Raw genomic sequence first — 16,703 nt, forward strand, 5'->3', positions numbered from 1 at the left:
ATCCTATTGATTGTATGATTATCACACAATTTTATATCCATTTTTCTGATGGGAGACAGGTTTACTTGATAACTACTGTGCATAAGTAACTATGAATATTCTCATACAATTATTTCTGTGAAGATACATACTTATTTTCCTGGGTATCTATAGCTAGGGATGGAGTTGCTTGGTGAATGGGTAGAAAATGTTGGACAGAGTTTTGCAAAGTATTTGTATTGCTTTACATTTCTATGAAAGATGTAGGCCATTTCCAGTTGCTCTACATTCCCACACACTTAATATTTTCAGTCTTTTAAACTATGCCAGGTGTGTAGTGATATCATAAAATTTGGTTTTCTCATGCCTAATGTTCATTTAGATATCTTCTTATGGAAAATATCTTCTCAAATTTTTATATTCATTGATATACTGGGCTGTTTGTCAATTTCTTTGTAATAGGAGTTCTTTATATATTTTGAATGAGTCCATTTATACATACATATTTTTTGCTGTATTATATAGCAAATAATTATTCCTGGTCTAGAGATAGCGTTTAAGTTGTTAAACAACAACATAATAAGGAGAAGCTTTTTAAAAATGAAGTGCAATTCGCTTGATTTCTTATTGTGGTGAGTGCTACAGTATCTAGTCTAAGAAATATTTTCCTGTGTCAAGTTCATGAAACTATTTCCTATTTTTCCTTTACAAGGTTTCTAATTTTAACTTTCACATCTTAAGATAATTTCAACATATGATGGAGAGTGGTTAATATTAACTTTTTAAAACAACAAATATTATTTCACTCAAAATCGTTTTACTTAAAAGTCTTTCATTTCCCCAATGAAGGGCATTGGTGTCTTTGTTTTTAAAACATTTAGAAGCGGCGGTGCGAGCATGTTCTCACTCATGGGTGGGAACTGAACAATGAGAACACTTGGACACAGGACGGGGAACATCACACACCAGGGCCTGTCATGGGGTGAGGGCTGGGGGAGGGATAGCATTAGGAGAAATACCTAATGTAAATGACGAGTTAATGGGTGCAGCAAACCAACATGGCACACGTATATATATATAATATATATACACGTGTATATATATTATACACATATATACATGTATACACGTATACATGTATACATGTATATACGTGTATACACGTATATATAATATATATACAAACACATGAATATATATAATATATATACGTGTATATACATACGTGTATATATATAATACGTGTATATACATAATATACTATATATAACACGTGTATATATATATTATATATATATATTTTTCTTTTTTAAGTGGCGGAGCGAGGGCTACTGCACAGCTAGCAGAGTCGTGGCGAGGAGGACAGCACCTGCATCGAGCTCTCCGCCTCCCCCACCCGCCAGCCCAGGCGGCCCCAGCAGCAGTGACCAGAAGAGCCCCTGCAGCAACGCAACGGCCAGGTGGACACCTCCATCTACAGCCTCGTGGCGGACGGGACCTGTTAGGACACGGCCATTGTGGGCAACAAGGACCCACCTTCCATCTGGGCCGCCGTCCCAGGGAAAACCTTCCTCAACATCACGCCAGCTGAGGTTGGTGTCCTGGTTGGCAAAGACTGGTCAAGCTTTGTCATGAATGGGCTGACACTGGGGGGCCAGAAATATACTGTGGTCCTGGACTCACTGCTGCAGGATGGGGAATTGACCACGGATCTTCGTATGAAGAGCATCGGTGGAGCCCCCACCTTCAACGTCATTGTCACCATGACTGCCAAGACGCTAGGCCTGCTGATGGGCAAAGAAGGTATCCATGGCAATTTCATCAGCAAGTAATGTTATGAAATGGCCTCCCACCTTCAGCGTTCCCAGTACTGACCTGCTTTGTTCCTTCCACTCCACCGCTCCCCACAGCTTTGCCTGCCTTTCCTTCACATACACACACCATTTTAATTTCAGGAGTCATTACCCCACACACCTTATTGCTGCCAAAACCACATGGGCTGGGGGCCAGGGATAGATGGACAGACACCTTCCCCCACCCATACCCCTCCTGTGTGTGGCTGGAAAACTTTTTTGTTTTGATGGATTTCTTATGAATAAAAAAGATTCTACTAAAAAAAATGAATAACTGTACATATGTGGGCATATTGTTTGAATCTGTATTCTTTCACTTTGATATATTTATGAATACTTACACCATTACTACTGTTTTAAAATTACTGTAGCTTTAAAATCAGGTTTGAAATCTAGCAGAGTAAGTCCTCCAACTTATTGCTTCTTCAAGACCGACTTGCTTATTCTAGGTTCTTTGATTTTCAAATACATTTTGAAACTAGCTTTCAAATTTCTCTAAAATCTCCTACTAGAAATATTAATCAGAATTGTGTTGATGTAATATGCTAACAAAATTGAGTCTTCCAATCAATAAACATGATATATATTTATTTAGCCTTAATTTTTCTCACCAATTGCTTTTAGGGGCCTCGTACCTGCTTCATTGCATGTATTGTTAAGCATGTAATGATTCTGGTTATTAATCTCTATTATGTTTTATTGAATTTCATTTTCTAGCTGCTAATTGCTAGTATGGAGAAATTAAGATGATGAAATCAACTTTATAAAGGCATAATTTCGGTACAACAGACTGCACCACTTTAAAATGTGTAATTCAATGCACGTTTACAAATGGATACACTAACGGAACTACTGCCACAACCAAGATAGAGGAAATTCCCTATGCCCCAAAGTTTCTTGTACCCCTTTGCAGTTCATCAGCCTTTCAACCCTCAGCCCCAAGGAGCCACTGTCACTTCAGGTCCGTTTGCATTTTTAACCATTTTCTATAAATGAAATGATACCTGTGTTCTTTTGTGTCTGCCTTCTTTCATGCATCAATGTAATTTTAAAATCCATCTGTAATGTCTCGTAAATACTGAGTAGTATTCCTTCGTGTGGCTATACCATGTATGTTTGTACTTTCACTTATTATTGGACATTTCTATCATTCCGCGTTTGGGCTATTATGAAGAAACTATCATGAGCATCCATACGTGGCAGGCCAGGTCTCACTAACACAGGCCTCCCTAACAACTGTTTCAGTACCGACTGAGTGGTTCAATTAAATATTAAGAGGAAAAAAAAAAAAGAAGCCAGTGCCCTTATACAAAGGCTGGAATGTAACAAAAGCCCACCAAGAGTTTTGCCTAGGTTTTTCCTGGGCCTTAAAGCATGACGAAATAACGAAGGCATTCTTAACAGGAGCCATTTAGTATTAAACGAGTTTTATTGGGGGTCTGAAGAAACTCCCCAGGCCTCCACAAACAAGTTTATTGGAGATCTGAAGGGACTCTCCAAACCTCTGTGATTTAGCAGGAGACAAGATAAGGGCCCCCAGCACCTAGACCCATTTAGATTAACTGAATTTAACTGAGGTTCCAGAGGAAGGTCTTCAGGACTCAGACTTATAGATTAAAAGAAGTTAATCATTTATGTATTTAGATGAATGCACACTTCCACATACACATATAGCTTAGAAGGTACATTAGCTCAGGAAAACTTTCCAATTTTGAGTTGGTCTGGTGATAATTTCCAGGCCGTTTCCCTGTAACCAGTTGCAGAAGTCAAAACTCTCTTCCTCCCCAGTTCATCTGTGTCTCGTTACGGAGCCACGAGAAACAGCATCCCGCCCCTCAGGTTGGTCTGGAAACACACATACAGATCATTGTGCAGACACAGTGTGTAAATTCCTAGGAATGGAATGACTGTCTATCTGATTTGTGTTACGTTTAACCTTTAAGAAACTGTTAGATTTTCAAAGGAGCCATACCATTTTTCATTCCTACAAGTATAAGACTTCCAAGTGCTTTATATCCTCACCAACAGGTGCTATTTTCAGCCTTTTTAATTTTAGCCATTCTTATGGATATGTACTGGTATCTCATTGTTGCACTGATTGATCTCCCTGATGACTAAACAGTGGAGCATCTTTTCCTATGCTAATTGACCATTCATGTATCTTCTTTTTTTTTTTTTTTGAGACGGAGTCTCGCTCTGTCGCCCAGGCTGGAGTGCAGTGGCGGGATCTCGGCTCACTGCAAGCTCCGCCTCCCGGGTTCACGCCATTCTCCTGCCTCAGCCTCCCAAGTAGCTAGGACTACAGGCGCCCGCCACTACGCCCGGCTATTTTTTGTAGTTTTAGTAGAGACGGGGTTTCACCGTTTTAGCCGGGATGGTCTCGATCTCCTGACCTCGTGATCCGCCCGCCTCGGCCTCCCAAAGTGCTGGGATTACAGGCGTGAGCCACCGCGCCCGGCCCCATGTATCTTCTTTTCTGAAGTATCTAAGTCTTTTGAGAAATTGTTTCAATGTGCTGTTTATCTTATCAGACTGCAATATATATATATGTGTGTGTGTGTGTGTGTGTGTGTGTGCCTGTCTGTGTATATATATATACATATATATATATACGTATATATATATATACACACACATATATATACGTATATGTATATATATACGTATATATATATATATATATATTCCCTATTTGGAGATAATAATCTTCAAAACGGTGAATATATATATGTATACACACACACACACACGTTTGTGTGTGTGTGTGTGTATACATATATATATGTCCTAAGAATCAATTAGACATACATGTGAGTATCTATTTCTGGATTCTCTCTTCTCTTCCACTGATATATATTCCATTTTTTTTTCAACAAAACACATAATCTTGATTTTCATAGCTGTAGAGTAATTCTGGAAATAGGTAGTGAATTCATTCACCATTATTCTTTTATAATATTGCTATTTTATTATTCTTGATCATTGACATTACCATATAAATGGTAGAATCAGCTTGTAAATTTCTACCAAAATGCCGGTTGGAATTTTTATTAGAATTGCATTGGATCTGGAGATCAATTTACGAAGAACTGACTTTTTAAACATAACAACTCTTCTGATCCATGACAAGGTTTATCTCCCCACTAATTTAGTTCTTTCATAATTTCTCAAAGCAATTTTTTGTAGTTTTTGGTGTACTGGCCTACTGGCCTTACATAAATTTTGTTGACTTTCCTTTTTTTTTTTTTTTTTTTTTTGAGACAGAGTCTTGCTCTGTTACCCAGGCTGGAGTGCAGTGATGCGATCTCGGCTCACTGTAACCTCTGCCTCCCAGGTTCAAGTGATCCTCCTGCCTCAGCCTCCCAAGTAGCTGGACTACAGGCACATGCCACCATGCCTAGCTAATTTTTTGTATTTTTAGTAGAGATGGGGTTTCACTGTGTTAGGCATGATGGTCTCCATCTCCTGACCTCATGATCTGCCCACCTCGGCCTCCCAAAGTGCTGAGATTACAGGTGTGAGCCACGGTGCCCAGTCTGTTGAATTTATTTATAAACACAACATGTATTTAGATGTTACTTTAAATGAAATTGTATTCTTATTTCATTTTCCAAATGCTCATGCCTTTCTAATTTGACATAAAGTGCTACATGGCATTGGGGCTGGTACAGCCTCGCTCAATTATGGGTTGAAGAGTACACAGAGACTGCCAGGCTGAGGGAAGGTGCAAGAGAATAGAAGAGATGCTCACAGAGAACCACAGACCGCACGGCCCCAGAGTCAGGGGCAGCATCAGCCACTGTCGGCTGCTCATTTGTCCAGACAGAGCCCACAAGCCTCAGCCATGCTTTGCTTCTGCAAGATGCTTCTTCACCTTTTCAATAAACCTGCCTGAATTAAAGCTGATGGGAGTTTATTTCTCCTTCATCATAAAAGAAATTCTTCACCACAACAATCTCCAATGAATTGTGGGCACAGAAGGCAGACCCATCCCTGCTTCTCTTCCACTATCTCCCCTGTAGGTTGAAAAGGAGGAGGTACTGAATTACCTCCAAATGTTCCTCTGGCTCTGATATTCTGTGACTCTGGTTTCTTTTCGGCTACTTTGTTTTTGGAAGCATGTATCCTAAGGCGTCCAGTTGAAAAACCTTTGTCTACTGTGTCCAGACATTCCTGGTGGTATTTCAGATTAAGACACCCTTGGGTTGCTGCACTCACAACCACTGAACCAATTCTATGACCATCTGTTTCATGGCCACCTGTTTGCTCATTTTCTATGTACATAAAGGGAGGGGACACAACAAATTTGCATATTATAAACTGTATCATCTTAAAAAGGAAACAAGGCAATATTTTGCAATAAAACCTTAAGATGCATTAAATTTAAGCCTAATGCAGTAAAGAATGCCCATAAAATTATTATCTAAAGAATGTTTAGAAAATTGTTGAACAAGGGACATCATCATTTAAAGTGATACGAAGAAAACTCAGCTAAGCATATGGGCTAGATTAGAGAGAAAAATAAAGGACCCATCTCTGCCCTGGAAAAACTACTGGTAGCATCTTTCACAAAGCTCTCTGTGTTTGAGTACGCACCTTGATCCATAGGCTCACATTTGATCCCAACTGGCGGCTGCTTCTTGGCATTAACTTTGGATTCCCAACCAGTAAATCTTACCAAGATCTGAGTTTCTCCAGGTATGATATTATTTTGTTTGACCATCCTTATCTTCAAGGGCTACCAAGAAGAAACAAATCATTTATTTACCTCCCCAGAGGAAAAGGTTTTACCAATGAGACACTTTCTTACCATGACCCCAGGGCCCCCATGCCCTGTTCACTTGAGTGCCCTGTGTGGCCTGAGAGAAGCTCATACTGGTCACAGGATTCTTTATATGATTAACCTCCTTCCTGAATCCCAACTTTATGGTGGTGGTGATGACAGGTATCCCATGCTCATGTCCCTGAAGTCATCAGCCTGTCTCCAGTTAGAAAAAATTACATGTATATAGAGAAGCCTCTTTGGAAGTAGCAAAAGCTTTCTCACCTTCATACATTAATGGTTGGAATGTACAATAGTATAAACACTTTGGGAAAAAATGTCTGGCATATTCTTACAGAACTAAACAACTACCTATTCTATGACTCACTAATTCCTAAGCATTTATCCAAGAGAAATTAAAACATATGTCCAGAAAATGATTTATACAAGAATGTTCATAGCAGTTTTATTCATAATAGGAAAAACTGGAAACATTCAAATATCTATCAATACAAGAATGGATCAATAAACTGTGATACATTCATTCCATGGAACGGCTAAAGGAACAAACTTTTGACACACAAAACAAGATGGATGAATCTCAAAAACATTTTGAGTGCAATAGGAGCCATACGCAAAAGAGTGTGAGAAAAATGATAAATAATAATGGTTTCAAGAAATGCAGAGCAGAGAGCCCAGAGGCAAAGACCCACAGGACAGAGGGTCAGTCCCAGGCTGTGGATCCTAACTAAGAAACTCCTGCTGGATTTTGCCCAGCTCCATTTCCAAACTATTTTGGGTTATTGACTTCTTTATCCCCTCCATGTTCCCTCATTTTGAACTAGAATCACTGTAGTGGTTATTCTATGTCTGTCCCATCATTTCACATTAGGGGCAGATAAGCTGTTTGTTCAGTTTCACAGGTCGACAGAGGTAAGGGAATTATGTCAAGGATCTGCACTTAATGGACACTCTCGGAAGCCTCATTCACACCTGGTGTGGATGTTTTAGATGGGATTTTAAACTTTTGATCTGATGTGGTCTACATGACATTTTTCATGTTGAACTAATGCTTTAATGACATGAAATCTGGAAACCTCAGGGGAGAGGGTAAATGCACTTTGCAGATGGGGGAATGTGAGTGTCCTACTGTGGTAGATGGAATTTCTGAAATGGTCCCCAAACATGCCACACCCTTGTCTCTAAAGCCTCTTAAGGTGATGAGACACCATTCCTGTGACTATGTTGTTATATGCCAGTTATATGACTTTAAGATGGTGAGGTTACCGCATGAACTGGATCTAATCACATCACTCCATACATGACAGAGCTTTGTGTGGCTGGTTGGAGAAGATGAAGTCAGAGAAGGTGGGAGCTTGAGAAGGACTCCATGAGTTGTTATTGGTTGAAAGATGAAACAGACAGGTAAGGAGGAAAGCATGTGGCCTCTGGAGTCAGAGTAGACTGTCTCCCCGCTGACAGCCAGCACAGAAAAAGGGCCCTCAGTCCCCCACAAACAAGAATAGGAACTCTTTCATTATCTGTAGTGAACCTGGAAAAATAGCTTGAGCTCTAGGAAAAAAACACAGCCAGCCCATTCCCGGATTTTAGCCTCACATGACTCTGATCAGAGAACCCGGCCACTTCATTCCAGACTTCTGTGGTTTCAAACCACTGGTTTGTGGTAATGTGATAATAGGCAGCAAGAGAAAACTAGTACAGGTGCCTGTCTCTCCTCTTGAATTTCAATTTCAGATAAATGTATGCTAACCCTCTAAGAGAAAAAAATCAATCAACCAATCAATGAAAGAACTACAGTAAAAATATTGCCCTCACCTTTATGTGGCTGTTCCAGAGCCCTTGCCACCTGAAGAAGACAATGAGGGGTATTTCAGGCACTTGAGGAGTGTGGCTTTACTGTTATCAATCACATTTCTGGAAGAATAAAAATGGTTCAGTGAAGGGATGGGTTGCCCCTCCACACCTGTGGGCGTTTCTCATTAGGTGGAAGGAGAGACTTGGAAAAGAAAGAGACACAGAGACAAAGTACAGAGGAAGAAAAATGGGCCCAGGGGACCGGCGTTCAGCATACGGAGGACCCATGCCGGCACTGGCCTCTGAGTTCCCTTAGTATTTATTGATCATTATCGGGCATTTCCGGAGAGGGGGATGTGGCAGGACAATAGGATAATAGTGGAGAGAAGATCAGCAGGTAAACACGTGAACAAATGTCTCTGCATCATAAACAAGGTAAAGAAAAAAGTGCTGTGCTTTTGATGTGCATATACAGAAACATCTCAATGCCTTAAAGAGCAGTATTGCTGCCAGCATGTCCCACCTCCAGTCCTAAGGCGGTTTTCTCCTATCTCAGTAGATGGAATATACAATCGGGCTTTACACCGAGACATTCCATTGCCCAGGGACGAGCCGGAGACAGATGCCTTCCTCTTATCTCAACTGCAAAGAGGCCTTCCTTCCTCTTTTACTAATCCTCCTCAGCACAGACCCTTTACGGGTGTCGGGCTGGGGGACAGTCAGGTCTTTCCCTTCCCACGAGGCTGTATTTCAGACTATCACATGGGGAGAAACCTTGGACAATACCTGGCTTTCCTAGGCAGAGGACCCTGCAGTCTTCCGCAGTGTAGTGTGCCTCTGGGTACTTGAGATTAGGGAGTGGTGATGACTCTTAACAAGCATGCTGCCTTCAAGCATTTGTTTAACAAAGCACACCCTGAACAGCCCTTAATCCATTTAACCCTGAGTTGACACAGCCCATGTCTTAGGGAGCACAGGGTTGGGGGTAGGGTTACAGATTAACAGCGTCTCAAGGCAAAACAATTTTTCTTAGTACAGAACAAAATGGAGTCTCTTATGTCTACTTCTTCCTACACAGACACAGTAACAATCTGATCTCTCTTTCTTTTCCCCACAGTTCAGGTCAGGCCGTGGCTCGTGTCTGTAATCCTAGCACTTTGAGAGGCCAAGGCAGGTGGATCACTTGAGGTCAAGAGTTAGAGACCAACCTGGCCAACATGAAGAAACCCTGTCTCTACCAAAAATACAAACATTAGCCAGGTGCGGTGGCAGGCGCCTGTAATCCCAGCTATTCAGGAGGCTGAGGCAGGAGAATCACTTGAACTCAGGAGGTGGAGGTTGCAGTGAGCTGAGATGGCGCCGTTGCATTTGAGCCCAAGGAAAAGAGAAATAACTCCATCTCCAAAAAAAAAAAGATAAAATAAAGACGGTTCACTACTTAACTCCAAATATTATTATGTGAAAATGTATCATCTCAATTTTAATAGCAGATTTTAAAAAATTCCTTTTCTTGTGCTCACCAGACAAGGTTTGGTAACAAATACCAGTCACCAGCACAGATGAACCAATTCAAGGAGAGCCATAAACAGGACTACTATTATGTTTCCCCAAAAACCATCCCTAGAATGCAATCTCTTCTCTACTTGTCACAAAACGAACACAATAGTCCACTATATAAAGTCCCAAACACAGGAAAATGTAAATATAATGAAATCTGCTTTCCAAATGTTTATTCTATTCAGACCCAGTCATGGGGACCAGGGATTAGGAAATGACTACAAACAGGTTCAAGGGAATTTGGGAAGTGACAAAATATGCTGAAGTAGAACTCTGCTGATGGCTGCACAATTCGATAAATCAACTTACATCATTGAGTTGTACATTAACAATGGGGGACTTTTATAACAAGTAATTCTTTAAACAAACTTTTGGGTTTCTATTTCAACATGGAAAGAGCTAGGCAGTCATCACTTGTCCTCACAGCTAGAAAAAGGCTGAACAAACTGAAAGTCAACCCTTCTAGGGTGGATCAGAGAATTGAGGTCACAGGGAAAACTGCCACCTTAAAAATGAGAAACACAGGCTAACACACAAGGAGTCACAGCTCACAGGGAAGAGAAGCTACTGGGGACAGCAAGTGGGAGGAGCACTTAAATGGTATTGACAGATTACTAGAAGCTGAGGGTAGCCTGGCTAGAACATTAAAAACTCCTTGAAGACCAGACTAAGGGGGAATCTCACACATTTCCAAGTGTTACTACAATGATCTCAACCAGGTTCTCATGATGAAGTTCAGAAAAACTCCCTGAGGTTTGGCACTACCAACTTCAGGACTTACATTAAGCTACAGTAACCCAAATAGTGTGAAGTTGGTGAAAAGAGAAAACACACACATATAGATGCATGGAAAAGAATACGGAGCCCAGAAGCAGGCCTACATACAGTCCACTGATCTTCCATGGAGGTTTAGAGACAATTTAAAACAGCAAAGATAGCCTTTCCAACTAGTGGTGCTAGAACAGCTGGACAACCACATGCAAAAAAAATAAATAAATCCAGGTATGCATGTTATATACCCTTTATAAAATAAATCTTACACGTAAATGTAAGGTGCAAAACCATAAGAATCCTAAGAGATAAAATAGGAGAAAATCTGAGGGATCCTGGGTTCAATGATGGCTTCTTAGATACAAAACCAAAAGCACAATCTACTAATGAAAAAAAAATTAAGTTGAGCCTCATTAAAATTAAAAACTTCTGTTGTGTGAAAGACACTGTTAAGAGAATGGAAAAAGCAAGTCACAGACTGGGAGAAAATATTTACAAAATAATCTGATGGAAAAACTGCTGCCAAAATATATGAAGAATTCTGAGAACTAAACAACACAAAGCAAAAAAAAAAAAAAAAAAAAGGTGAAAGATCTCAACACCTCATTAATAAGATATACAGATGGCAAATAAGCATATGAGAAAGATGCTCAAAATCATTTGTTGTGAGGGAATTGCACATTAAAACAACGAGATATCACTGTAAACCTATCAGAATGGCTAAAACACAAAACGGTGAACACACCAAATGCTGTCAAAGATGAGGAACAACCAGAACTCTCCATAGCTAGTGGAAATCAAAAGTGTACAGTCACTTTGGACAACTTAAGTTCATTCAAAATCCTGCACATAAGTACTTGCAGCAATTTTATCATAATTGTCAAAACTTGGAAGTACCCAAGACGTCTTTCACCAAGTGAATGAATAAACAAACTGTGTTGTAGCCATACAATGAAATCTGATTCAGTGATTTTACAAAACAAGCTGTCAAGTCATGAAAAGACGTGGAGGAACTTAAAGTACATAATGCTAGAAAGAAGCCAGTCTGGAAACCTACATACTGTAATTCCAACTCTAGGACATTCTTGGAAAGTCAAAAAGATAGAAGTAGTAAAATGATGAGTGGTTGTCAGGGGTGGAGGAGAGGAGGAGGCACGAAATGGTGAAGTACAGGGAATTTTCAGCAGTGAAACTATTTTGCATGATGCTGTATTGGGGATTTAGGACATTACATAATTGCCAAAACCCATAATCTGTGAAACTCAAAGAATGAACTCTAGTGTAAACTATGGACTTTAGTTGATAATGATGTATCAATAGTGGTTCATCAATTGTAACGAATGGACCACACTAATACAACATACTAATAGGGGAAACTGTGTGCTGGAGGACAGGGGAGCCTAGGAGAACTCTCTGTACTATCCACTCCATTTTTCTGTAAACCTAGAACTGTTCTAAAAAATAACATCTATTACTTTTTTTTAATTAGGATGCAGCAGCCCCATACCAAGGTTTTGGTGGCATCCTGTTATTGTGTGGTTAGTACTTGGCATTGAAGTGCACCAACCTGGAGTCAGAGCAGTTGGAGATTTCAATGCCTGTGCCATTTACCTCTAACCCTGGGGTGCCCCCGGAACACAGATAGCAGATCAGTTAGGCAGAAGCAGCCTCAGTCATCTAGACAGTGCAGGGTTCTGGTAAGGACAGGTGCAAACCATCTAGGTGGGCAGAACTTGGTGATGACTAGGAACCACTGAGACTCAGCAGCTGCCCCAGTGGCACCCACAAATCAGAGGAGGAGGAGGCTGGGAGGACCTAAGGGCTACAGGACGAGCTCCCTGCCTACAAGACAGAAGCAGCTCCAGAGGTTTTGGTAAGTAATGTAGATTTCAGTGCAGTGTGGTCTATTTAAAAAAGTAGAACAAAAAGGAAAGAAAAAGAGAGAGCATGAGAGACAAAGAAAAAGAAAAGAAGAAAGGAAGAAAGGAAAGAATGGAGGGAGGGAAGGAAGGAGGAAGGGAGGGAGGAAGGAAGGAAGGAAGGGAGGGAGGGAGGGAGGGAGGCAGGGAGGAAGGGAGGAAGGAAGGAAGGAAGGAAGGGAGGGAGGGTGGAAGGGAAGGAGGGAGGGAAAGAATAAAGAGAGAGAGAAAAAGAGTGGGAGAGAAGTAGGGAAGGAGAGAAGTAGGGAAGGAAGGAAGGAAATGAACAAATTTACATGAAGATGAGAACATCCAGGGGAACTTACACCACCAGTATTTTCCATTAACAGGAACACGCTAACTAGTTATTGGAGACAGACGCACTACTGTAAAACTATATACTGTTTCCATGGGGTACAACCCCTTCTTCCTCCTCTGAAACACATAATTCCTCTGGCCCACTGTTGCCAGAGACACTGAGTCTTGTCTTTGGATAAGTTCTGGTGCCCAAAAGAATGAGATGAGACAGTGGATCCCAGAACACCAGGCCGCAACCTTTCCTGCTGCTCCTTGTCCACTCCAGAAGCTGCCCAGCTGCAGGTGGGGGCCTCAGCCCCTGGGTCTGACATCGTCCATTTGTCATTCTCACTGGACTTCCCTCCTCGCACTGGCTCCCACTCCCCCAGGACCTGGTGGACGGCCACGTGAGAAGGATACAAACAGGCCATGCCCCTTTCTTTCTCCCCCTCTCAATGCCTGCAGTGGTGGGTTCCATGGGGTAGTGACCTGAGATTTACTCATTATGGGGTCTCTAGCCCAGAGCAGGGCATGGTACCTAATAGTCACCCCATGAATGCTCAGTGAAAGAAGGCGTCCACCACAAGGTCCTGGGGAACCAAGAATTCCACTGTGGCCCATAAATTCTAAGTCCTACAGGATTCTGGAATGGGAGATGGGAACGGCCTTCAAAAGTGGCCTCTCTTTTAACCCATTATACTGGCAACTGAGCCATGTTTCCCCATCCTGGACACATCTAGAGGGCACTGCCTAAAACCACACACATCTCCCCACCCAGGACAGTGCAGGGCCTTAGCCTGGGGGATGCGGGTGGACAGGGAGGGGGTGAGCCATGAAAGCTGAAGAGGAGAAAGCAGGTGAAAGGGGACGGCAGGGTGGAAACAAGAGACGGAAATGGGGGCAGAGAATGGGGGGTAAGAGGGGAAGAGCAAGGAGTGGGATGCAGATCTAGCTACTAAGGAAAAGTCCTGGAGAGAACACTGTCCTCTCCTGAAGTAAAATCACTTCCACCTGACAACGGCACTGCAGGTCGAGGGTGGCACACGCTGTGAATATTTGTTCATTCACTTAACAAATATTAATTCAGTATCTGTTTCATGCCAGGTAAGGCCCTGCGATGTTTAGGGCCCTTGGCATCTTCCCTTCACATCTGAGTCATAATAGAAAAAGGACTCTCTGACTCCATCGAGCTGGCAATGCCTCAGGGTTTTTACCTGTGGGATCTGGCAGCTCTTCATTCGGCCCACACCGTGTGAGGTTGCTCTTGGTGCACCGAATGGGGAAGTTTCTACATCAGTACCTCGGAGAGTCCACTGGAAGCCCTGGACAGTGGGAGTTGGTGGCACCCCCAGCGTGGAGGCCAAGAACACACAGCACTGAAGCTCCAGGACACCCTCAGGAGGACGGTAAGGGACGGTAAGGTGAGAGCCTGGGTCACCAGGAACCTTCGCCTGCATCTAAACAGGATTTGCTTTCAGATTGCCTATGAGATAAAAGAGAGAAATCATGGTTAATATTGAGATTTGGGGCTTCGGCAACTTGAAGGATGGAGCTGCCGTTTACGGAGACTGGGAAGACCCAGGGAGGAGCAGGTTGAAAGGTGGTGGGGAACTAGAATTGTTTGGGTTCCTGTCATATGTAATCAACAGTCCTCACCAGCCTCGGCAACATAGTAAGACCCCATCTCTGAAAATAAAAAATGAAAAATTGGCCCAGCATGGTGGCACACACTTGTAGTCTCAGCTACTCGGAAGGTTGAGGCAGGAGGATTCCTTGAGCCTTGAATTAGAGGTTAGTGAGCTATGATGGCACCACTGAACTCCAGCCTGGGGGAAAAAAAAATAAAGAGTCCTGACTAAATACTTGAGTAGCCAGGGAAGTTTTCACCAAGTAATACTTGAGGCAGATCTTAGTGAACAAGAATTCGATTCTTTCTGTTAGGGAATTAAGAGTGTGTGGGTGTAGTTAATGCTTCTTTGGAATCGCATCTACTGGTCTATCTGGTCTATCTGTACACGTATATTCTACAGGCTGTCTCGCTGAGCTTTCGCTAGGTTATGCTACAGTAACAAAAGCCCCAAAATCTTAGCAGCAACACATACAAAGGTTTATTTTTCATTGACATTTCCTTTTATGTCAGGTTGACTGTGACTCTGCTGTATACAAGCTATTTTATTTGTTACATGGTGAAAACTGTGACACTTGGAGATTGTTGAATATGGTATTAGTATGTTCATTCATTCATTCATTTAACAAATATTTATTCAATATCTGTTTCATGCCAGGCAAGGTCAAGTACTGAGAATACAGTGGTGAATAAGAGACAAAATCTCAAATTTCCAGGAGCTTATGTTGAAAATGAGATTGAACACATACAAAATAATCATAATAACAACAATGAATACTATATTCATAAATAATAGCTGTAAGAGATTTTAGCAAATCTTTTAAATTAGAAAAACATAAAAATTATTAAAACTAAAATGGCCAGCGGTGATGGCTTATGCCTGTAATCCCAACACTTTGAGATGCCAAGGTGGGAGGATCATTTGAGCCCAGGAGTTTGAAACCAGTCTGGGCACTACAGGAAAACCCTGTCTACAAAAAATAGAAAATTAGCCGGGCATAGTGGTGCATGCCTGTAGACCCAGCTACTAAGGAAGCTGAGGTGGGCAGACTGCTTGAGCCTGAGAGGTCAAGGCTGCAGAGACCCATGATCATACCACTCCACTCCAGCCTGGGAAACAGAGCGAGACACTGTCTCAAGAAAAAAAAAAAAATGGTTCGATGTAGTCCTAAAACTATTATGTAGAATACTATTGTTTACATCATATCACGTCGGCCCTTTAAATGGCTTAACGCTTATTTAGGTACGATCCATAAAGTTTTCCTGGTAATTAAGTATACCTAAGAACAATGAAGTATAAAAGAGTTACTGCCTTGACAGGAAGATTGTAAAAACTGTAAAAAGATAAATAAATAAAGAGTCAAAACTGTAGCTCTGTGAGGCTCAAATAACATCTAATTCAAGTCACAATGAACATCTAGCAATCACTGTGAACACCACATACTTCCCTTAATACATTTTCCCTGAATGCCCAACACATCTGAATTACCAACACCCGTATGTAGCCAAGAAACTGACAATCATTTATAAATTATCACCTATGACTCCATCTGCTCTATGCACTTATTTTTTAAATTTTACTCATTTATTTATTATTTTTATTTTTTGTAGAGATGGGATCTCACTATATTGCCCAGGTTGGTCCAGAAACAGAAACAGACCCACACTAATTTCATAAATTGGATGACCATGCAGTCATCCGATTTAAGAAAAAAAGTGCCAAACAGTGCAGAAGGAAAAGAATAGTCTTTTCAATAAATGGTGCTGGATCAAGCAGACACATCCACGTAGTAAAAAGTGAATCATAGCCGGGTGGGGTGGCTCATGCCTGTAATCCCCACACTCTGGGAGGCTTAAGTGGGAAGATTACTTGAGCCCAAGAGTTTGAGACCAACCTGGGAAACATGTTGAATCCCATCTCTACAAAAAATATGAAAATTAAGCCAGGCATGGTGGCACACTCCTATAGTCGCAGCTACTCAGGAGGCTGAGGTGGGAGGATCGCTTGAGCCAGGAGGTGGAGGTTGCAGTGAGCTGAGATCCTGCCACGGCACTCTAGCCTGGGCAATAGAGTGAGGCCCTGTCTGAAAAAAAAAAAGAAATGCAAAAACTAAAATAAAATT

General features: G+C 41.6%; 1 protein-coding gene and 1 pseudogene across 3 annotated transcripts in view, besides 2 other annotated features; one reads left to right on the top strand and one right to left on the bottom strand.

Annotated features, from left to right (window-relative positions):
• The window catches only part of NBPF20 (NBPF member 20), a 135,704-nt gene that overhangs the window by 116,421 nt on the left and 2,580 nt on the right, over positions 1-16,703 (bottom strand). The window contains exons 4-5 of one of the 3 annotated variants that reach the window (NM_001397211.1): positions 14,168-14,436; positions 6,429-6,570 (exon numbers count right to left, since the gene is read on the bottom strand). The gene's annotated coding sequence lies outside the window, so the exon portion shown is untranslated. Of the gene's footprint in view, positions 1-6,428; positions 6,571-8,641; positions 9,809-14,167; positions 14,437-15,094; positions 16,665-16,703 lie in introns of those variants that run through there. The other 2 variants (NR_189122.1, NR_189123.1) reach the window with 2 other exon arrangements.
• On the top strand, positions 1,315-2,096 carry PFN1P3 (profilin 1 pseudogene 3; annotated as a pseudogene).
• Positions 8,714-9,375: an enhancer, noted in NCBI's record as "OCT4-NANOG-H3K27ac hESC enhancer chr1:148356511-148357172 (GRCh37/hg19 assembly coordinates)". NCBI's record gives its function as "activates a minimal SCP1, AML or CMV promoter by ChIP-STARR-seq in naive H9 embryonic stem cells {active_cell/tissue: H9 hESC(naive)}" and the evidence as "EXISTENCE:reporter gene assay evidence [ECO:0000049][PMID:30033119]".
• Positions 9,376-10,035: an enhancer, noted in NCBI's record as "OCT4-NANOG-H3K27ac hESC enhancer chr1:148357173-148357832 (GRCh37/hg19 assembly coordinates)". NCBI's record gives its function as "activates a minimal SCP1, AML or CMV promoter by ChIP-STARR-seq in naive H9 embryonic stem cells {active_cell/tissue: H9 hESC(naive)}" and the evidence as "EXISTENCE:reporter gene assay evidence [ECO:0000049][PMID:30033119]".

The sequence above is a fragment of the Homo sapiens genome, chromosome 1, assembly GCF_000001405.40.
Source record: "Homo sapiens chromosome 1, GRCh38.p14 Primary Assembly".
Taxonomy (NCBI): Eukaryota; Metazoa; Chordata; class Mammalia; order Primates; family Hominidae; genus Homo; species Homo sapiens.